Source organism: Homo sapiens, chromosome 7 (genome assembly GCF_000001405.40).
Source record: "Homo sapiens chromosome 7, GRCh38.p14 Primary Assembly".
Taxonomy (NCBI): Eukaryota; Metazoa; Chordata; class Mammalia; order Primates; family Hominidae; genus Homo; species Homo sapiens.
This window is the reverse complement of record NC_000007.14, coordinates 132,817,428-132,840,878: the sequence shown is the minus strand read 5'-3', so window position 1 is coordinate 132,840,878 and position 23,451 is coordinate 132,817,428. Positions and strand designations below refer to the sequence as shown.

Here is a 23,451-nt window from a genome sequence, read left to right as displayed (position 1 = left end):
GTTAACAAAATTAGTAATAATTTTACTGCATTTGGCATGGCAAAGCAGAGAGGAACTGACTAATTTGTATTATGGCAAACTGTTGCTTTTGTGCACATTGTTAATAAAACAAGTAATACTTACTTTTTACCATTTAGAATCTATACCTAGAATGGAATTACCCTAATTATTTTCCTCCAAAATTATTTTATTGAGATGTTGATGTACTCTGTGAAAACATTTAACAGATTTCACAGCTCTCTTGCCTATCTTATTTGATTTCTTCAACAGCTTTGGCAGAAATAAGCAGGGCTAATATTATCATCCATACTCGATGGGTTAGGAACACTGGAAGGGAAGCTGGGGGAGATTAAAGACCTGCTCAAGGTCACAGAACAGAACCAGAAACCAGATCTGTCAGCTTAGTCCTGTCTCTCTCCAGATATTACAGTTCCAGTGCTTAAACTAAGCAAAAGTATTAATTAAGATGTTATTGCTTAGCCAGCATTTTAGTAGATAGTTCAGTAACATAATACCCACTCAACAGTTCATTAGAGTAATTTGGGAGTTTCTCATCTTTAGTGAGAGTAACTATTGTTAGTGATTAGTAACTGCCTTTTTGCTACATTCTTTGTTAGAAGGGTTCAAAGGAAGGATTACACCAAACATTGCAAAAGAGCCTGTTGTGACTGGTGTGTATTTTAAGGGAAGAAAATCTTATAAGTGAAACAGATAGGAAGGTGTGACATAACCTTAAGTTAAGTATCTGAGATGACAAATGGTTTTTTGATAGCTTGAGACCTACAGAGGAGTTAAAACCTCTCGGCATATAGACAATTACAGTTGATCACTCAAATTGCAATTTTATAAAATGCAGCAGCAGTACACTTAGAATATTGTCTTCATGTCAGAAATGCACCTTTGTGCTTGAAAATGATAAAAAATTACAATCGATCCTTACAACTGTTCTGTTCATCTTTATTGATCAGGTGCAAGAAAGATAAATCGTAGCCCAAATAAGATTATAGTAAATGTTAGCATCGTAGGGGACTATAGGTTGATAGAAAGCCATTCATCATCTCAAATGGTGACCTGTCTATGGCTCTAGCCACCCTGAGTCTGCTATCTAATCACATACCTATTGATTTTATCTACATCCAAGAATCCTGGATGTGACTGTCATTGGACAACCAAGATTGTTAAATGCAAAGGGGTCACTGGTGTGAAGAGGATTTCACTTTCATTTTTTCACCAACCAACAATGATTTATTAAAAAATAAATGATTGCAAGCCATGCATTTGAAACCTGAGTGATTAGAGAATGAAAGGTACACAATAGACTACCGTATTGTGGTGGTGTTTTGTTGTTGTTGTTTTTTAATGCAGTGCATTTTGCAGGATATTTCATTGAGTCTTAGGGCTCATGGGGTCATTTAGGCCATCTCCTGCAATAAGACCAGTTTCAGTGTAGCTAGTCAGTATGGATAAATTTTGCTGCCCCAGGAAAGGCATTACTTTGCCACTGCATCTTGGTTTATGTTGTTTATGTGTCCATTCCTGTTCATAGTGGAAACATTTTTTGTTATTAAAATTATCTAAATCTGCCCCCTTGTTCCTACTGATTAGTTATAAATGTTGTTGTTCTTGTGGTCACGTGGAAATGATAGAACAACTTAAGCTCCATAAAGAAAACTTTTTTTTTTTTTTGAGATGGAATTTTGCTCTTGTTGCCCAGACTGGAGTGCAATGGCTCCATCTCCGCTCACCGCAACCTCCACCTCCCGGGTTCAAGCGATTCTCCTGCCTCAGCCTCCTGATTAGCTGGGATTACAGGCATGTGCCACCATGCCCAGCTAATTTTTTTTTTTTAAAGTAGAGACGTGGTTTCTCCATATTGGTCAGGCTGGTCTTGAACTCCTGACCTCAGGTGATCCGCCCACCTCGGCCTCCCAAAGTGCTGGGATTATAGGCATGAGCCATACCATCTTGATGACAAAAATATTGTGTAGAAAGAAATGATCTTTAATATCCTAGTAGGAACACCAATGGAATAATATATAAATACGAATGTGTGTGAATTTCAGTTTTTGATCTCAGGCATCCTTTGATCTTACAAGGGTAGATTCCAAATAATGGCAATCTAAAGAATCTTTCCAAAATGTTAGGAATTTTCTCCAAAGGATCAAATGATAAGGAATTGTAACTGTGAACGTTTACTCTGTAATTATAATCCGCATACCAACAACTCTACTGTTATTTAAACGAGTAGCTTTACATGTGTTTTATAAGTATCCATGCCACCTATACAAGAAAGTCTTCTACTGCTTGAGTGGCTGAAACAAGGTTTTATGTGTTTTTTGAAGTTGTAAATCTTCCACACATTTTGTCATCTTGGATAGTGAAACCTTTGCTATCAATCTTTGTCCACAGAGCTCAGAGTTCTACAGAGTCACCACTGAACAATATCAGAAAGCTGCTGAAGAGGTGGAAGCAAAGTTCAAGTAAGTTTTTAATAGTATTATAATTATTTACTATTCTTAACAAGATGAAAGCACAGTTTTAGTGCTTTTTGCACAGATCATAGTTTGTTATATAGCACTCTAGAATACTTGGAAGAGTTTTGGGGTGGTTGAGATGGGGGCCATGTTATCTGCTATACTGGAATTCAGATGCCAAGACAAAGGCATTTGATGAAAGCTTGTTACAAATCCATGTATTTTATGAACTAGGGGGAAATTGAAAGCAATGGTAATAGTATTATCATTTGTAATAATATATAAAATAGAATGCTCTTGATTATGAAGGTCATGTTAAATTGCTACTGTATTAAGGGAAACATAGAAACCATTCACTTTTGTATAATAAAATGATGGGCATGTCCAAATTTGGGTATCTGCCTTTCTCGTGGTTAGGCTGTTTTCATTTCTTCACATGTACCTTGAAAGGCTTTAAATCATAGACTTTACCTGGCCCTTGATTATGAAGGTGATGTTAAATTGCTACCTCTCTTAATCCTTGGAGTGTTTAAATGAATGTTCTGTAATTGATGGATCAAAGTGTCCGTGTCCCATAGCTTTGTACTTTCCCTTTGCTGCCAGTTCTCACATTAGGTTAGAAGACATCATTCAGAATTTTTCTGAGTATATAAATAGTCCTATTGTGTAACCTCTATTAGTAGCACATGCGCAAATTAGTGAAGCAAAAAAAGTTGTTGTGACAGCTTTAGTTGAAAGATTGCATCGGGCTCTGACCTCCTTCCTTGCACATGTTTACAAGCATTTGATAAAATGATTAAACCCTAAGGTGGAATTACTACTTTCTGCTACAGTACAATTTGTGTGTTAATGGATATTAGTGTTATTGTAATGTGGATTAAAATAAAATTTTTTAAAAATTAAAGGTAGTTTGAGGTTTATTTAAAGAGCCAAAGCCCTTCAGCCTTCTGTAGTGAACTATCTCTTTAGAGGCAGCAGAGAGAGACCTTCCAAGGATGGGCCACAAGTCTCACTATTAGAGATTAATGTGAGATCTTAAGAATTTAGACATATTAATAGAACTGGTTATAGATTTTTTAAGTTACTCTACATATATTATTTTAAGTTAGGTGTTTATTTTTCTCCCTAATGATATAATGACTTTTTTTTAGGTGGTAAACCTTTTTTTGTCTCTATCCCATGAGAACCTTCGAGTTGGCTCCCCGAATATTTCTTTATTCTAAGACAATAGCTATAAAAACAGCTAAATTTCGGATACATTAGAGATCAATTTTGACTAGAGTGATCTGTGAAGTTTTCATAAAGAAGATGACTTTTTAGTTGAGCCTTTAAGAAGAGTATTGAGTAGGTGGACGGGAAAGATATTCAGAAGGAAAACTGTGCTCTGTAGTTGGTGGGTGACAAAGCAGTGTCTTGAGTCAGAAAGACTGGTGCAAGATAAAACTGGAAAGGTCAGTGGGTCATTAGCTGCTGGGCTGTGAAGTTTGGTCTTCATTGAGCAATGAGTCATGGGAAGATGTTTGACCAGATGAGCACTCTGATTTCTGGGCTCCTGAAGGAAAAGTAACCTGGCAGTGGATGTGAGGTTTAGTTGGAGACATGAAAAATAAGAACTTGAAGAATGAGATAAGGTCAGCTGTGGTGGTTCACACCTGTAATCCCAGCATTTTGAGAGGCTGAGGCAGGAGGATCGCTTGAGGCCTGAAGTTCAAAACCAGCCTGGTCAACATAGTGAGACCCTGTATCTACAAAAGAACAACTTAAAAATTAGCCAGTTGTAGGGGCATATACTGGTGGTCCCAGCTATTGGAGAGGCTGAAGTGGCAGACTGCTTGAACCCAGGACTGCAGTGAGCTATGATTGTGCCATTGCACTCCAGTCACAGAGTGAGATTATGTCTTAAAAGAAGAAAAAGAAAAAACAATCAGATGGGAAGTCTCTACAAGTGCAAGAGAAAAAAAAAGTTGTTGAAAGTTTAGACATGGCGCCAGGCGTGATGGCTCACACCTGTAATCCCAGCACTTTGGGAGACTGAGGCAGGCAGATCACTTGAGGCCAGGAGTTCAAGATCAGCCTGGGCAACGTGGCAAAACTCCATCTCTACTAAAAATACAAAAATTAGCTGGGCATGGTGGTGCATGCCTGTAATCCCAGCTACTGAGGTAGCTAAGGCTAAGGCAGGAGAATCGCTTGAATCCGAGAGGCAAAGGTTGCAGTGAGCTGAGATCATGCCATTGCACTTTAGCCTGGGCAACAGAGCAAGACTCTGTCTAAAAAAAAAAAAATCAGACACATGAATTTGTGATTGGTTGGTGTATTAGTTTGCCAGTACTGCAAAGTACCACAGACCGGGTGGCTTAAATAACAGAAAGGTATTTTCTCACAGTTCTGGAGGCTAGAAGTCTAAGGTCAAGGTGACGCCAGGGCTGGTTGCTTCTAGGCCTCTCTCCTTGGCTTATAGATGGCCATCTGCTCCCTGTGTCTTGACACAGTCTTTCCTCTTGTGTCTACATGCTAATCTGCTTTTCTTACAAGAATACCAGTCATATTAGACTAAAACCCTCCCTTGTGACCTCACTACAATTTAATTATCTCCTCAAAGACCCTCACCCCAAATACAGTCACATTCTGAGGTACTGAGCAGTGGGCTTAGGAATTTTCAGGACACACAATTCATCCCCTAACATTTAGATAAAGGGGGCAAAAGAACCAGAATTATGAGGTTAGCAGATTGGAAAATCAGTGGAGAGTGGATTTCATAGAGAAAGATAGGTCTGGATTTTAGATGCAAAAATCTCTGTCCTGAATCTCTGCCCAGCTGCCATGTCATTCAGCCTGAACTAGGTTTGGAGTGCGAGAGGCCACGGGAAGCACAACGTTGACATCATGATGGCTGACCTCCTGCAAGTCAGCAGGGCCCTGTAAGTTAGGCTTTGTTTTAAACAGAACCTCAACAGCATCATTCTGTCTTACCTATTAAATATTATTCAAGAATAATTAATAATATGGCCAAACTGTGTAGTAAGAAATTGGCCTTGGCCAAAGAGAGGTCTGGATTTTGGACCAAGCTCCTGAGAAATTCTAAATCCTTCGAATTTCCTAGTGATAGAAATTGTTATTCTCAGCCAGGCGAGGTGGCTCATGCCTGTAATCCCAGCACTTAGGGAGGCCGAGGCGGGTGGATTGCTTGACCCCAGGATTTTGAGACCAGCCTGTCCAACATGGTGAATCCCTGTCTTTACAAAAAAAAAAAAATACAAAAATTAACCAGGTGTGGTGGCGCATGCCTATAGTCCCAGCCACTGGGGAGGGAGGCTCAGGTGGGAGGATCACCTGAGCCTAGGAGGCAAAGGTTGCAGTGAGCTGAGATAGCACCACTGCCTTCCAGCCTGGGCAACAGATCAAGACCCTGTCTCTAAATAAATAAATAAATAAATAAATAAATAAATAAATAAATGAGAGGAAAAAAAAGAAATTGCTATTCTTGCTGGGCCCCTTGGACCATGTGGTATCAGTTCAGCCTCTGGGGAGGTGAGTTTATCATGTGGACCATCAGTCAAGCAGTTTAATGAGGCTCCAATAAAACTCTGAACAGTGCTGCTCAGGTGAGCTTTCCTGGTTGACAGGACTCCATGGGCACTGTCACACATTGATACCAGGAGGGCAGCAGGTCCTAAGGACATTGGAAGCTTTGCATTTGGAAACCCCCAGGCTCAGTCCTATGCATCTCTTCCTTTGGCTGATTTTCTGTATCATTGCCCTATAGTAAACCATAACTGAGTTTAACAGCTTACAGTGAGTTCTGAGTTCTTTCAGTGAATTATTGAACCATTGAATTTTGGCTGGTTTGGACCCTCCCTCCCCCGCTCTGCAAACTTGCTGTTGATGTGTCAGAAGTGAGAGCAATCTTGGGGACTGTGCCCTTGGATTTTTGCGTTTTGACTAACTCCATTGCACACAAAACCTAGGTTTTAACACACTTTGAAGAAATTCTAATAGCTAGTTTTTTAGGGAGTGGCTTTCATTATATCGTTTTTTCTCCCAGCTACTTCCTGCTAGGCTGAGCTTCCTAGAATGTTGTATTTTGATTTGCAGTGAGTTCATTAGCTTCACACCTAGGAAGTGATAGTACATTGGGTATAGGAGATGCTTACCATCTTTGAAGGCACAGAGATTACTTAGTAGACTGCTATTTCTTTTTAGAAATTTGGCCATCTCAGATAATCAGGACTTTTGTAAGACAATATATAATATTTGCATTGCATGACAGGGGTTTTTCGCCTGGTCAGATTATTTTCACTGGCTCCTATCTGTATGACCAGCTTAGCACCTGTAAGCATCACCTTGAGGAGCTCTATCTTGAACCTGAACCGGAACTCAACAGTTCCTCTTAGGCAACAAGTTCTGAAGGACTTTGAGGAGAATTTAGTTAATTGTATCTGATGAAAGTAGGATTCATTTATGTGCATCTTGGTTACAGGAGATAGAAGCTTTTTAAAGTGCAGTGTCAAGGGCAATATTATATACCTGATCAGGGGTCATACAAATCACTGTAAAGAGAAAGAAAGCTAAGAGCATTTGAAGCTGCCCATGACTAACACCAGCATATTAATGTAACCTACCAGGATAGCTAATCGAATTATTTTAGGGATGCTTAAGATATTAACTCATACTTCAGCCCCTCAATGTATAGTTTTGGCAGTAAAATACTTTGAGAATTAATGGATTGTTTCTCCTACTTTATCCACACATCATTCATTCATAGAGCCCCTGTGTGACAAGCCAAGCCTGAATATACAACTAAGAAAACAGGCCAGGATCTTATTACTAGTGTGGAACTCAGAGTTCATCAGAGAAAAACAAAAGGAAGACAAACTTTTTAAATGATGATCTTTTTAAAAAATTCAAAGTTAGTTCTCCTCTTTTGGGGTGATTACATTTCCAATGCATATCAAGTTATTAAAAATATTACTTACCATGATTTCAGTGGGAACTAAGGGATTCGAAGATAATTTGGACTGTTTATTTTCCCACAATAGATTTAAAATTTTAGCTCTAAAACCTAAATCACTGAGCAAATCCAGCATTCTTCTTATATGTAACCTTAATTCAAAAGGAATACCTTTTCTTTTCTCAATCCAACTAAAACAGTAATTGTCAACACTTCATGTCGCATTTTATAACAACTTAGGGTGCTAGTTTCTATTATATGGCGCTAGTAATGTTACAGCTCATCCTAATGCAAATTATATTTTATATTAATCCTTATGCTGTACCTCATAGGTAATTAATTAAACAAAGTATTATTTTAATAATGTTACATGTGTAGTTCTTAACACAGACCTAGCACAAAGTAATAAATACTGCATTTGATTATCAAAAGTTATGAAACTATGTGCTATCGGAGAAATCTCTGTATTTGTTTTTAAACAAATTCTAGATGCTGCTAAACCTCTAGCACATTAGAAGGAGTTCTTACCCTTATGGAGCTCATACTCTAGCCAGGATGACCGGCACATAAAGCACTCATGATAGAATAGCATGTAAGAGAAGCCTCACAGCAATGTAGCTGGAGTGCTGCCGGCCTCCTGTTTCTTGGTCAATGTCAGAATCAGATCTCTGTGGCTACATTGGAGCTGATATGCCACACCTATAGAAAGAAGATGTTACCAGAGTGTTTATGCATGTGAATTGTTTTTAAAATAGAAAAGCAAATATCAAGTAAATGTAAAGCAAATATCAAAGACATGTTAAATATTTTAAAGGCAATATAGGCATGGTAAAGACAATGTGATAGTAAACAAATGAAAAGCATTTTACAGGACAATTGATACTTCATTCTCATTCTGTCCTTTACATAATGAAGTGGCGAGTTTCTATTTTCCATAAAAGAAAGAAAAAATATGCATGGAAAGTGACATAGATCTATTGAAAATATTTTTGGAATGATTTCATTAGAGGTACAACTTTTTAACATGGCTTCAGTTTCTGTGAAAGAAGAAGCACTTCTAAAGAAGTACAAGTCTATGAACTTGGAAGTGAATACCAGTAATACTCCTTTGTGTGCCAGATTTTAGAGGGGTTTTCGCTTTTATCCCTGAATGAAGTTGTTGAAACCTGACTTATAAATTTAGGCTCATAGAAGAAGCTTAGGTTATCCTTATAAAGTATTAAAAGATTAGTTACCCTGTAAAAGTAGTTTAGGTGATTTTAGAGTATCTGAGGAATACTATGCAGAACTCATACAGATAAAATGGATTTTGTAAATATTACCATCTTTAAAGGTTTTCTTCAATGTAAAACCCTTTGACTTTAAAATGTCCTTGATTTTTTTTTCTTTTTTAGGGGTTGCACTTTCACTGGCAATATTGTTTAGTTTCTTTTTTGGATGTAATATTTTAATAGCTATATTACGGATGAATTGGTGAAGCCGAGGAAGACACGCCAATAGTATCAGCAGGTGTTTCTCATGTTCTGTATAATTACACATGTGTATCATGGACAGTTTTAAGCAATGGTGTTTAAAGATCCTGCTTAATTGGCTGTAAAATAATTAAATACGGTTTTGACTGGCAAATTTATAATTCTGCTAGATGCATAAGCCAGTGAGCCTGAATGTCAATGCAACCTCATTTTGGAAATATTAGATTAATAGAACTAATTGTACTAAAAGTACAAAGTTTACTCTGATTAATAGTCTTAAAATTCTTCTAGAAGTTTAATCAGGTAAATTTATGTTACTTATCTTTCTTCTTAAACTTTTAATTAAAACTTATTTCAAAAGTTTGAGCTATTAAGTTCTGTGCTTCTCTTTCTAGTTTCTCTGAAGTTGAGTTCTTGCAATTTGTCAGTGACTCCAGCTCCCTTATTGAGTAACATGCCTTATCAAAAGTATTAAAATTATATGCTGTTTCACGTGTATTTGTATCTGCAGCTGACAGGTATCCTGAACATCTTCTCTAACACGTATTGATGTCTACTTATAACCTACTTTAGTGCTGTGTGAATGGATCTAATATACCAAATGTACATGATAAATGTTTTATCTCTGATTCTCATTGATCAGTTTTGAAATGATCAAATGGTGTATCTCAGTAAGACACTAATTCACATTGATCAAATTCTAAATGATCAAGTTGACTTGGTTTCTGCTGAACACAAATTGTATTAAAACAACATTACTTGAACATGCTGCCTTCTCTAATGCAGGAGTTATGTTACCAGCAGTTACATTATAACTAGAGTTATTGTATTATAAAGATGTCTCCTTCATAATGAAAAGTTTACACAAGAAGAAAAGAATGCGATATTACAGGAAGAACAGGGCTTCAGGCAAGGATTTGGGCTTTTACTAACTAATTAAATTCTGCATTTGTATTGGGCCTTTTTTCCCCCTTTTTTAATTTGAAGGGCTGTGAGCAAGAAATATAGCAGCTGCAGTGGTGACATTTTATTCCCCACGGTCCTTGGAGCCAAGTAACATCTTGATTATTCAGTAAGAGACTTAGTAATTGAAGAGGCAAAATTCTAGATAAAGTAAATATACCTGTACCCTTTGTGCACAAGCCTCTTGGTTACAATTACGTCTTTAGAAGTTTCGAGTTATTTGTTGGTTTTTGTTTTTAAAACATCAGCTCACCTATGTCAACTTCCATAGTATATCATGTCCCCTCTGGAATTTGCAAATGTGCTGCTGGAGGAGGATTTCATTTCTGAAATTGAAGAAAGATGTTAATGTACTTATGAATATACTTTGTATATGAAGCTAATGGCAAATACACATTTGGCTGTCACATGGACTCGGTTATTTAGAACACAAAATTCCTCAGGCAGGTTATTTATTATGTCTTTGACTTGTGTCTTCCATCTATAAAATGTAAATTATAACTGTCACCTTCTGTAGGGCATATAAGCTGAGAAAGTTTAAAAGTTAACTGAGAAAGTTGTCTTTGATCCTTATCTAAAAAATGGTCGTAAGTTGTTTTATTCAACTGCAAGATAGTGGCTCCCATTTTAGGAAAGTTGTAGATGATGCAGCTCCTTCCGTATCTCATCGGGGATATGTAAGGTAGTGCCAGCTCCCAAGCTGTCAATCTGCCTGGTTTGTTTGTCTGTCCACCTCCCACCAAGCAACAAATTAGTCCAAGGAAAGTGAGACTGGCTTTGGAGCATGCCAATATTTAACAGTATTTCTTACGATACCCATTTAGAATTGGTTATATTTACAAAGAAAGCTTCGGTATTAATGCTTTTTCCCCCCTTCTAAAATTGGAGCCCTTCAAATCAGATCTGCCTGGTTAGTTATTTACTTTCTTTTTAGTTCCTTGGGTGAGATCTCTATACTTGGTCTAAATACTATTTTCTAAGATAATAGAAGTAAATGTCAAGAAACATTAACAAGAGAGATTTCCATCTGCATTATCTCTCTACTCCATGACTGGTCGCCACAGTATTCCACTCAACTCAGTGGTATCCTGCAGAAAAGGGCAGGGCAGATGGCAAAGCTGATTGGGAATATAGGGATAAAAAGGGCAGGAGCAGGAGTGTACACCAAGGACAAGAGAGTATTGTTAATTTCTCTAAAAAGACAATGCAAAATGCAGCCATCTCATGAACATGGTCACAAGACCAAAAGGGTCACTTTGGAAACTTTTTTCCATCACTTCAGCATAGGGTGTAAAGGAATCTCAGCTGGTGAAATAAGCTGCTGATGGTGCAGCCAGATTGGCCACGTCCTTCGTAAGTCCATGACCTGGAGCATTCTTCTCTGTTCTTGCTGTGGCAGTTGGGGTTTATTGGTGTTGCACCAAGCATCTTCTTTCCTTTCGTATAAGTGGTTTATGTGTAAACATGTAAATGATCAAACCATTCTTGTGGCAGCTCTTAGGTTTGTGGCCATACACTCCTGGATTCATGATTCGTTCTGTGTGAGCTAACAAATCATTCTGTCTTCCCCAGCAGGAACATCAGTATTGAACTTTCTTCTTAATCAATACGATCCATTAAGAATCTAGTATACCCTACATGGTTATATGAAATATTAATTGCACACTGTTAGTTAGATAAATGAAGATTCTGCCAAAATGATAGCTTATTTCCTTCCTTGTATCATAATATTTTAAATGAGATCATTCTGAGTTCTAGGGTACATGATATTTTGGAATTTGTTTATTGATCCTTGCTTACTTGAGTAATTAACTACACAGCTCACAGTTGGAAAAGACATTTCTAACTGAGACTACTAGGTTTGTCCTCTTGCCAATTCCAACTAGAATTCATTTACTTGTTAAGGGCTTCAGTTAAAAATCATGCTTTCAAAGATAAGAAAACATATTTTGCGTTTTGAGTGCAACTAAGCTACAGTGAAACTTGTAGGAAGCCAAGTTAAGAGTTAATTGTCTGACTGACCTGCCCTGTTATAAGATATCCAGAAAGACTTCTAGAAGGTAGAATTTAAATTCTGTCCTTATGTCAGATATGCAAAGTTAACAATCTTAGGACTTGAGCACAGTTAAAGATTTTATCAAAGAAGTTATCTACACATAAAAATGGTAGCTCAGGGTAGTTTCTGGAACATTATATAGGTTCAGCCATAGTATAACATCAAATTAATTATGTCTTATCACTCCAGAGTTTGGTAAGCCTATCCCAGATGCTATCAGCCCTTCCCTGGTTTCAGTCAGATAATTAACTTATGAATGTATTTAGCTGCCCATTCACTCTGCCTGGGGTAAAACCACATACTAAAATTGAAACCAGAACTTTCAGGATACATTGTATTTAAACTTGTATTCTTGTTGCTCATTTGAATGTATAATTACCAAGTCACCCCTCATGGTTTCAGTCTTGTCAAGTATTCTTATTTCTGGCTCTTCTGATTTTTCTTAAGAGATAAGCAAACAAAATACAAAAATTGTTAGATTGGACCTTATAAAATTTTAAAATTCTGCCCATCTTAAGACATCATTAGGAAAATTTTTTTCATGGGCAAAAGACTTGGACACTTCAAAGGAAGATGTAAGAATGGCCAAATAGCACATGAAAGGAGTTTCTACATCATTAGATACCAGGGAACTGTACATTTAAAACATAGGAATGGCAAAAATCAAGAAGACTGACAATACTAATTGTCTGGAAAGATTGTGGAGAAACCAGAACTCACTTTGCTGGTGGGGGTATACAATGGCAAAAGTCCTTTGAAAAAAAATGTTGGCAGTTCCTTATAAATGTAAAGCATACACTTGCTGTATGATGCAACAAGTCTAGTCCTAGGTATTTACCCAAGAGAAATGAAAATATACATCTACAAAAAGACTTGTACACCTATGTTCATAGCAGGTTTATTCATAGTATCAAAAACTAGCAACAATCCGAATGGTCATCATTGAGGGAATGGAGAAACAAAACAGACAGTATTCCACTCAACTCAGTGGTATCCTGCAGAAAGGGGCAGGAGAGATGGCAAAGCTGATTGGAATATAGGGATAAAAAGCGCAGTTTTCTACTTTATATTCATACAGTAGAACACTATTCAGCAATAGAGAAGAGCAAACTATCGATACATGTAACAGCACGGATGGATCTCAAACATCATGGTACACACAAAGAAGCCAGATGCAAAACAGTACTTCCTATGTGGTTCATTTAAACGATGTTCAAAAATAGGCAACATTTGCCTGTGGTGGGAATAGAGGAGATTTGATTGGAAAGGGACCCAAGCAGCATTTCTGAGATTTTGGGAATATTCTGTTGTATTCTGAGTGATAGTTTTACAAGTATATACAGGTATGTAACTTCTAATACAATATGAACACTGAAGATTGGTGCATTGTGATATACAGGCTGAGCAGCCCTAATCTGAAAACCCCAAATCCTCCAAGATTGGAAACTTTTTGCATGCCAACATGATGCCACAAGTTGAAAATTCCACACCTGACCTCATGTGACAGGTCACAGTCAAAGGCAGGTCCACAACATGTAGTCTGTTGACTGTGCCTCAGGAAGAAAATGACCTTCAGGCTATGTATAGTATATATGAAACATAAATGGATTCCATATTTTGGTTGGGGTCCCATCCCCAAGATATGTCTTTATGCATATGCAAATATTCCAAATTCCAGAACCCAAATTCAAAAACACTTCCATTCCCAAGCATTTCAAATAAAGGATACTCAACCTGTGTGTTAATTATACCTAAAACACCCTAAATTAAGAAAAAATATACCCCAAATATTGGGAATTCCCAGTTTCTATCTGTAATTTGTCCTAGATAAAATGCTTCTTCAATTTAATCACAGTCTTAAATGTAGGATTCCTAATCCTATCCATAATCATATTTTTTTCATTAGAATTTGAATCCCTTATCTCAGAGTCAGGGCTGTTCATTCAGAGTATTTTATTACTGTAGAAATAGAGAGGGATAAATCTTGCTTGTATTTCATTTATTTATTTTCTTAAAGAATCAGTCTTTTTTCCCCCCATTAAGTTACATTTGCCTGTTGTACTCTCCTCCTCTTCAACCTAGGACCTTGTAGGTAGGCTTGGATAAGGTTTGAAAATTACTTTTGATAAAGGGATTTCAAAGGCAGTATTTGTGAATGAAACATTTGTACAGTAGCACTGGTACTTTTCAATATAATAATCATATGCAGTAATTTGTTCATACTATTTATTGAGTCCTGGCAGAATGCTTGAAAACTTGTAAAAGCTTGCGTCTTGGCCCTTCCTTACATGTTGAAATGAAAGCACACATGTTCATATGTTAGTGTCGCCAAGCATCCCCAACTTGCTCACATGCCTGCCTTAAATTATTTCATGTGCTTTCCCATTCAGTGGCCAATAGTTAAATTGCTGTGTTCCTTTTGTGAGTGTGTATGTCTAAATGCTGGTAATCAACCGAGTCCCTGGAAAACTGATAAATGTGCTCATTAAGGAGAGTTCTTGCTCTTGGCTCTGTTTCACAAGTCACCTCAGCTAGTGTTTCTGGATGAAGCTGGCAAGAAACACTGTGCAGTGATACATCTGGCTTTATACTCCTTTTCAAGGACTAAAACCTCCTTTTTTAGTATGTTAAACATGCATTGTAGGGATATTGCAATTACAAAGAAGTAAGCTATTTGCCAATTACATTATTTACACAAGAAAAACCAAGGGCTGCTGCTGTGTGGTGAGATTTTTAATTTTTTATGCACTGCCATTTGCTCCTCCTCTTGTTCTCTTGAGCATCTGAGATTACACAAGTGCCTATTCATTTGTGAGGCAGAGCCATCTATGCAGACTCTGAAGTCCACCGGCTAGCCACTGGCATAGATCTCAACAAAGCTGACTATGTGAGAGATGCATTCAGCATGGTTTATGATTGGAATGTCGAAGGTAGCATACACCTGTTCCTGCTTTCAGGATGAAAAATGAATTGCCAATTATAGTAGACATGTTCAGACAGACGCTTCATATGGTAGAAGCTTGCTTGGCCTGCTTTATGCTGGGCCTCCAACTATGAAGCCATCAGTTCTGAAAAAGGGGTGTGTTGGCAAGGAGGAGAAGAGAGAAGGGTATCGATCCTTGATCTGTTACCATGTTTTGTGCTTGTGCAAGCTGTGGGCAGGAGGTCAATGCCTCACACCTTTGTTTCCCAAGCAGAGCTCTTGAACAAGATGAAGTGATCAAAGCTGGGTGGTAGTGCATTATCACAGTCTCATTACTTTGCAAGCTGCATGCCCAGATGCTGCTGTTTTCTGCATCAGGCTTCGCTGATTTACATTCGTAACACCTCCATTACAGCTCATTTGATACTGCTCATAATCAACCAGTTCTTGTCTTTTCCTGATAGTGTTTCTCCAATACAAAAGACGCTAGTGTAATGAAGAAAATTAGCATTGCTGGTATAGAATTCATCTTTAAGACATCCTGGTTAATTGACAAGAAGTGGGAACCAAATGCTTTGTCATGACTTAAGTCATTTGTGGTTTTGGTTTGGTTAGTTGGGTGTTGGTTTGGGGCTGTTTTTGAAGTCTTTGAACTTGAGTTGTTGGATATTGCCAGCAGACCTATTTTGACTCTTTCTGTCTTGGGAGTTCTTTTCTGTTAGTGAATTCCGACACCCTGTCCTTATTTGTTTGGTTTCTTCCCCTAGTGAGCTCAATGGCATATATCTATTTTTTTAAAGATATTAATGCAACAATTTTGCTTTGAAGAACTTACCATCCTCAGTATTAACACATACATTCATCAAGGGTCTCTTTGATGTTCCATGTTCTATGGGCCCTGAAAATACAGACATATCAGTTTGAGTCCCTGCCCTCAGAGGGCTTATACTCATTGGGATCATTAGCTCGACTGCAGAAGCATCAAAACTTGATGCAGGAATTATTACTAAAAGATTTGTTCGTGAAAAATTTTGAGTATCTTATACATTCCATATGGTTGTTATAAGTTGGGAATATAAAAAGTGACCAAAACATGTTAAATGCTAACATGAAGGTACAAACCATAAAATGCAGTAGGACTAGGAGGTTCGGAATCCCAGGGGAATCTGGATTGCATGAAGAGGTGACTGGCATAAGCTGGATCTTCTCATCTTGAGATTTTCTTAAGGTAAGAAGAGGGAGAATGGCCTTGCTATGAAGAGGGCATTGAATAGTGAAAATGGCTGAAACAGTGTGGGAGAGGTCTAGTGGAATATGAGACCACAAAGCAAGACTGGAGTCAGACTTGAAGAACTTGAAATGCCGTATTTTAAAAGGCAGAGTTAATAGGGCATAAAGATTCAACCAAGTGTTCTACCTACTTGGTGGCCGAGCGTGGTGGCTCATGCCTGTAATCCCAGCACTTTGGGAGGCCGAGGCAGGCAGATCACAAGGTCAGGAAATCGAGACCATCCTGGCTAACATGGTGAAACCCTGTCTTTACTAAACAGAAAATTAGCCTGGCGTGGTGGCGGGCACCTGTTGTCCCAGCTACTGGGGAGGCTGAGGCAGGAGAATGGCGTGAACCCAGGAGGCGTAGCTTGCAGTGAGCCGAGATCATGCCACTGCACTCCAGCCTGAGCGACAGAGCGAGACTCCGTCTCAAAAAAAAAAAAAAAAAAAAAAGAGTTCTACTACTTGGGAATATTTTTTTCTTTCACCTATCCCTGGTCCCCATAATTGTCACCACTAGGATTATGCCTTTTGAGTTGGTCATTGTTTCTGGAAGTCTTCTATCAAATAATACAATATAATATTGGGTGCATAGATGTTGTATACGTTTATTATATGATAATTAGAGTTTACTGCACCAAATTAATGACTATCACTCTTAATATACTAATGTCCACTCAAAAATAACCACATATTAGCTTGCCATATTGATTGAGAGCAAAGTTCAGGGACTTGAAAGGACGGAACATAGTAAAGATTAGTTCTGATTAAAAAGGTGGGGAGGAGAGAGTTGAGGAAAGATTGGGTTCATAGGATGTTGCCTGGGGAAGTCCTAGGGCATTAGGCAGAAAAAGAGCCTCATCTTTTCATACCAATTGAAATGGTATATGATTAGTTTTCATTACTCCTAGCTATGATATCTTTGAATGGTGTCCTAAGAATTCACAAGGTACCAGGTTCTTTGTGTCATTGCAATGAATGTGTGAGAGACAAACGTATGTGGTTTATTCAGATGTGTTTTATCTGGATGTCTAATTTTTAATTTATGTCTATAATTCTGATTGAATGTGCCCAAAATAGATAAAATTAGCTCACTTACTAGGCAAATTTTCTATTGCTAGTCCACTTGATTATTAAATGAGCCTTTTAAAGTATTCTCTCTCCTTCCCATTGAATTTTATGAACAACTTTTCTCTTTTGATATCCTTCCTGGAGACTTACTGTAGCGAAAAGGATATGAAATTGATAAATAATACAGGTGGCCCCCCTTATCTGCAATTTTGCTTTTTGCAGAGTACAATAAGATACTGAAAGACTACATTCACATAACTTTTATTCTAGTATATTGTTATATTTTATTATTCTTGTTGTTAGTCTGTTACTGTGCCTAAGTTATAAATTAAACTTTATCATAGAGGTATGTGTAGGAAAAAACATAGTTTATCTAAAGTTAAGTACTATTCATGGTTTCAGGCATCCACTAGATATCTTAGAATGTATCCCCCATGGATAAAGGGGAACTAATGTATTAGATTTTTTTCTCTTTTAATTTATCAAGGAAGTATTTTTTTTCTTGTAACAAGGGAAATGTAATTTTACTCCTCTTTTCTTTTCCAGATCAACCTTTTAAAAGTAAAGCATGTGAAGTTGCAGTTTGATATTTAGCCTTTCACATTTATCTCTATGAGTAGATATGTTAATAAACATAGATTTTGTTTTGTTTTCACAGAGTGTAAGACTATACCATACGTATTTTAACTTATATTTATTATGGATACATCCCCCTGGGTCAACACATAAATTCAACGCCTTCTTTTAAATCCAACTCATTCTTCTAAATAGCTGCATCATGCCTCATAGGATTGGTCTGTAGTCCTCTACTGAAAGTTTCTTTCAAGTGATTGGTTTTGGTTTTTTGTTTTGTTTTGTTTTGTTTTGTTTTGTTTTTGGTGGGGGGCGCGGTGGGGGCGGATAGTGCAGAAGAAGGCTGCAGCGAAACAAACTCATACCTAAACCCTAAGGAACTGGTACTTTTATTTCCGTAACATGGATGGGGTTTGAATTGTGACTGTTCCTTCCAACTGTGTAGCATTAAGCTACTTAACTCTTGATCTTCTTTTTGCTGATATAGGACATGTACATATAATACCTCATGGGTTGTTAATAAGGGTTAATGAAATGTGGGTAAAATTCTGGGCATATAGTAGGTACTCAACTCTATACAGGTCAGTTTCTTTTAGGGATCTAGTAGTTAAGAGTCAGGGCCCAGGTTATTTAACCTTAGAAGTTGTATCACAATATGAATCAAAAATTGGCCTCCCAAGACTTTTTTTTTTAAATTAAAAAAAAGGAAATCATGTTTTGTGAAAATTATAGGCTTTTTTGACTTGTATAATTTAAAAATACTGCATTTTGGCACAACCTTTGCAGCTTTTGCTGCTAGTTTGTAATTCCCTAGAGGTGAATTGAAAACATTAGTGGCAGAACTTTTTCCATTAACTCTGAGAAAAACTACAGAGCAAAAAATTGTCCTTTGGCAGAAATGTCAATCCATACCTCTTTTGAACATTTGGAAAGTGAAGCGCTGAGAAGCTGATATAATAGGAGAATTGAAAACCAAAATGTATACACATCTTCACCTTTTCTAACAGACGACAAGACAAATGAAAAATACATCCTCAGAACTTGATGATGCAAAGAAAATAGGATTGTTGCTCCAGAAAGTGCATTAGGCTGGGATCTTTAAAAGAGGCCGAGGCGGGTGGATCATGAGGTCAGGAGATCGAGACCATCCTGGCTAACAAGGTGAAACCCCGTCTCTACTAAAAATACAAAAAATTAGCCGGGCGCGGTGGCGGGCGCCTGTAGTCCCAGCTACTGGGGAGGCTGAGGCAGGAGAATGGCGTGAACCCGGGAAGCGGAGCTTGCAGTGAGCCGAGATTGCGCCACTGCAGTCCGCAGTCCGGCCTGGACGACAGAGCGAGACTCCGTCTCAAAAAAAAAAAAAAAAAAAAAAAAAAGATTTGAGTGCTAAGCTTTTGGCCACGTTCTTCAGAAGGGCTGATCCATTCTTATTAATGATACATCTATTTGTACTTCATGTCATAAAATTCTACCTTTATATGCTACAGTATCTAGGAAGTAGACGTAAGAAAGAGCAAATGTTTAATATACTACAAGTTTTGCTGTAGCATCTACCAGAAAATATGCTTATTTTCTCTCGTCTGTGGTTCCTGGTCTTCCTGATTTCTTTTTAAGTTTATTAGGACTTCTCTTCATTTTTCCACGCCATAATGTCAATATAGGTACAATGAAATAATAAGTATCCACATGTTAAAATGTTTACTGAATATAATGTTTATAGATATTCTTCACATCATTCAGTAGACCTATTCTAGCAAGTTACTTCTCATTTTCCACCCCACCCAAACCCCACAGTCTTAGATTTTATATCTGTGAAATGGTAATAACAGAGCTGTTATATTGGAATTAAATGAGGTCCATTTATGTTTTTAGCATATCCTAAGCAGTGAATAGTGAGCTATTAATAATTACTGTAGTCACAATAGTTGAATTTTCTGTTGGGTGAATTTTGTGTTTTTTTAATTGATGCTCATCATATGATCTAATATATATTTCCCTAGAGGATAATTCTTGAACGCAATAAAATTACAATTGAGTATACCAGGCCTCTTAAAAGCATGTGTTTAAAGGTAAATGCTTTCTGTCAAATTATTAACCAACAGTTAGCAGCACTACTCAAAATAATAATTCTGTTTTAATATGCTACATGAGAACTACATAATGTGGTTAGACATACATACGCAATGGTATGCTCAGACAAAATGCAGCCATTGTTAGTTCATGATATAGTTCTCACCTAAAACCTTGTCATAGTTTTAGAATATTTTTCTTCACTTGAGATTCTAGACAACGATAGGTTGGTAGTGTATACTGAACAAACAAGATTCTTCCTAACGTGTTCTGTAGTCACTTGCTCAGCATTTGGGCCATATATATATTTTTTTTTCCAGAAGTAAAAAGGACAGTGTGGCTAAGTGTCTAGATTAGTCCCCAAAAGCCCGTTTAACCCCTGCAGTTCAGAAAAGAAGACTAGATGTTAGGGGCAATAAAAAAAAAAAAAAAAAAAAAAAAACACTAGCACATTTTCCCATGTTTGTGCATACATGTGTGTTTAAACTACATTCTGGATTTAAAAGCCTGGGCTAACTCAATCACAGGTGCAGCCTTGTTTCTATGAAAGGAGATAAATTCCTATAGAGAGTGAGAAAGGGATGCGGAAGCCATAGCAAAGAGAAGCCTCCCTCCCTTCCAGTCCCTCCTGTTGTTTTCAAACATTTTTTGTTAGCAGTTAGCGGAATCCTAATACCCACAACTGATAATATGCTATCTTAATACTATTACTCTAGTTTATAAGCTTACTTACAACCTTTGCTCATTATGAAGAGAACAATGAAGCTTATTTTTATGAATACAACATTTAAAAATTAGGGGCCAAGGATGATGGCTGCAGTCCTATATCAGTCCCAACAGCCAAAGTTATGTGTTTGGTTGAGTGTTACGATGATCCTGATTTGTGGTGATAAGTAGTGGCAAATAATAACTTTTTTTTTTAACAGCTTGCCTTGCAACCACAAGATGCTCATCCATCAATCTGATCCAAATGATTAAAAGCGAAATAAGTTTCTGCTTCAAAGTTAAATAATCGACATTATCTAATAAATCATAATATAGAAGTTGGGACAAACAGCCAAAACTTTAAATATTAAACCACATTATGAAAATAACCTTGGATACCTCCTGGGCTGATCTTTTGCCATCTTTTCTCATGCACTTCAGTGTTCATTCACTAAAGGGAGGGAAGGCCTTCCGCACTCACGCTTTGGCCCGGCTCACGCTGCCCCCGCAGCACAGCCACAGCACACCTCACCTTCACCACCTTCCTCCCGATAAACTCAGCCTTTTGTTAGGACCTGTCTCATGTGTTAATTCCTCTGCTTTCTCTGTAAAGTCTTTCTAGACACCTCCCTTCCTACTAAAAAGCCATAATTAATTAATTGTTCCCTGTGTGTTTATGTCACTCCAGCCCTTATGACAATGTAAGTGGCATCAGTGTTGCCTGTGCCCCATCTCCCTTCTCAAGTGTGAACCGTTTAAGGTACAAGCTGTATCTGAGCCAGCTTGATGGGAGCATGCCTCTCTCTAACAGGTGCTCAATTAGTATCAATATTTCCATCTACTAAATTGAACTCTTATAAAATGTCCATGCTTCTTAACTTAGACTCCTGCAGTTCAGAATGGAAGACTAGAGGTTAGGGGCAACAAAAAAAGCAAAAAGAAAAAAAAAAGTGCGTTTTCTCGTGTGTGTGCATTTAAACTACATTCTGGATTTAAAAGCCTGGGCTAACTCACTCACAGGTGCAAATAAGAGTGTTTTTACTCTGAAAGGGATCTAATATAGCTCTGAATTTACACTAGAGGAAACTGTTGTCTAAAAACTAAGAATTATAGACTTGGGAGTTTGAAGGGCCCATTGCCAAGGTTATAGTCTAGTTAACAGCATGTGAATCTCATTCTTAGTTGAACTGAAACCTTCTTGAGGGCAGGAATTGTATTTTATCCTCTTTATCGATCTGCCCAAGCACCTGGCATATATACTGTGCTTGGATAATACATATTTAAATAAATGCATTCAGCAAATTAGGTGCCTGTGGCTATGTTGACATCTCTGTGTCTGGCCTAATGGTTTGATTTATCTGGCTGTTAATGGTCTTCATTACAGGCTGTTAATACAGGGCTGATTTTTGTTGGACATTAGCTAATTGCCAGAGTTCATCTCTAGTACATGCCAGATAGAAGCTGGGCTTTTCTCTTGACGGTATCAATAGGATAATTAAGACTATAGCAAAATTCAAAACATGATGGAGTATTTATTACATTAAGACTTGTCATTAATTGGGAATTCCTTCAGTTCAGATTTCTATATAGTGTGAATTTTTGTCAAGGGAAAGTTATTGATATTAAAAATTTGTTGACTTTTGCTATTTTTAAGGACTGTTTTTTTTGCTTCTGTTCATGTAGACAGATTTATATATTTTCTAGTTTGAAATTTCAACTTGAAAACACAGCATCTTCAAGTCAGGTAACTGTCTATCAAGAACACCAATTAAATACTTCATAACAAGTTTTCTTCTTATAAAAGCCTACCCACCCACTTTCCCCCATGAGGTTTCTATTGTCTGTTATACCAGTCTATATTAATTATAGGCATTTTCTGAGCAAAGCACTGATGAAACTAAGACATAGAGGAGAAAATTCCTGTGTACTTTAAGGATAAGAGAACCATTCCTTTTTCTGGCTCAATTAAAACTGGACTGATTGTCAAGTCCCATTAACCTAGTGGGTCACTACCTTGCTTGCATTAGTGGCAGCCCCACCGTAATGTGGAGCAGTCTTGCCACGTCGTGGACACATTTATGAAGATTGATAACAGCTAAGGTTCAGTGTTAACTTTTATTGTCAGGCAGGCTGTACAAGAAACTGTCTGGTATTGGCTTTTGCTTTGATTTATGAAAAGGTTGCCACATGAAGAAGATATCACATAAAACAGCACTGCTGGCAGCAGCGTTATTCGGTGCAATTGTAACCATAGCAAATAATAACTAATGGTAATTAGGTTCAGCATCATCTCTTGCTACTTTCCATAGTTTGGCTGGGGTGGGCCCTCATAGCAATATAATACACTCCCAAAGGAATGGGTGACTCACTTGCTTTTGCTTGGGTTAGCACATATTTCTCCAAAGCTTTCCTTTTTTCTTTCTTTCTTTCTTTTATTTTTATTTTTATTTTTTTTTTGAGACAGGGTCTCACTCTGTCACTCAGGCTGGAATACAGTGGCATGATCATAGCTCACTGCAGCCTTGACCTCCTGGGTCAAGTGGACCTCCTGGGTCAAGTGATCCTCCTGGGTCAAGTGATCCTCCTGTCTCAGCCTCCTGAGTAGCTGGGACTACAGGTGCAGTAGCTAGCAGTGTGATGCTGGTTCTTTAAGAGAGAACCATTAAGAAATTGATTTCATGTTCAGTTATCCCAAGGTGTCAGTGATCGAGTAATTACCTGTTGGCTTTGCCTCAGGGGAGACATGTGTGCACAGTCTCCCCCATGAACCCCAGAGGTGGCAGGAGTCTGAAATTCTGACTCCTGAATATCTGCAATAGCTCCAAGTAGTGGCAGGTGGCTCTTCTGGAAAGTGGCACCTAGAGCTTCTTTCTCAATTGGACCTTTTGTCCCTAAGGAGAATAGTCATCACTTTGCCTCAT

The 23,451-nt window shown here is 37.7% G+C and overlaps 1 protein-coding gene across 4 annotated transcripts in view; it reads left to right on the top strand.

The window, feature by feature from the left end:
• The window catches only part of CHCHD3 (coiled-coil-helix-coiled-coil-helix domain containing 3), a 297,221-nt gene that overhangs the window by 241,212 nt on the left and 32,558 nt on the right, over positions 1-23,451 (top strand). For all 4 annotated transcript variants that reach the window (NR_133671.2, NM_017812.4, NM_001317177.2 and 1 more), the window contains one exon: positions 2,410-2,480. Coding sequence is in view for 3 of the 4 variants with exons in the window: in NM_017812.4 (NP_060282.1) it covers positions 2,410-2,480 (71 nt within the window). In the remaining variant the exon portion in view is untranslated. The remainder of the gene's footprint in view (positions 1-2,409; positions 2,481-23,451) is intronic.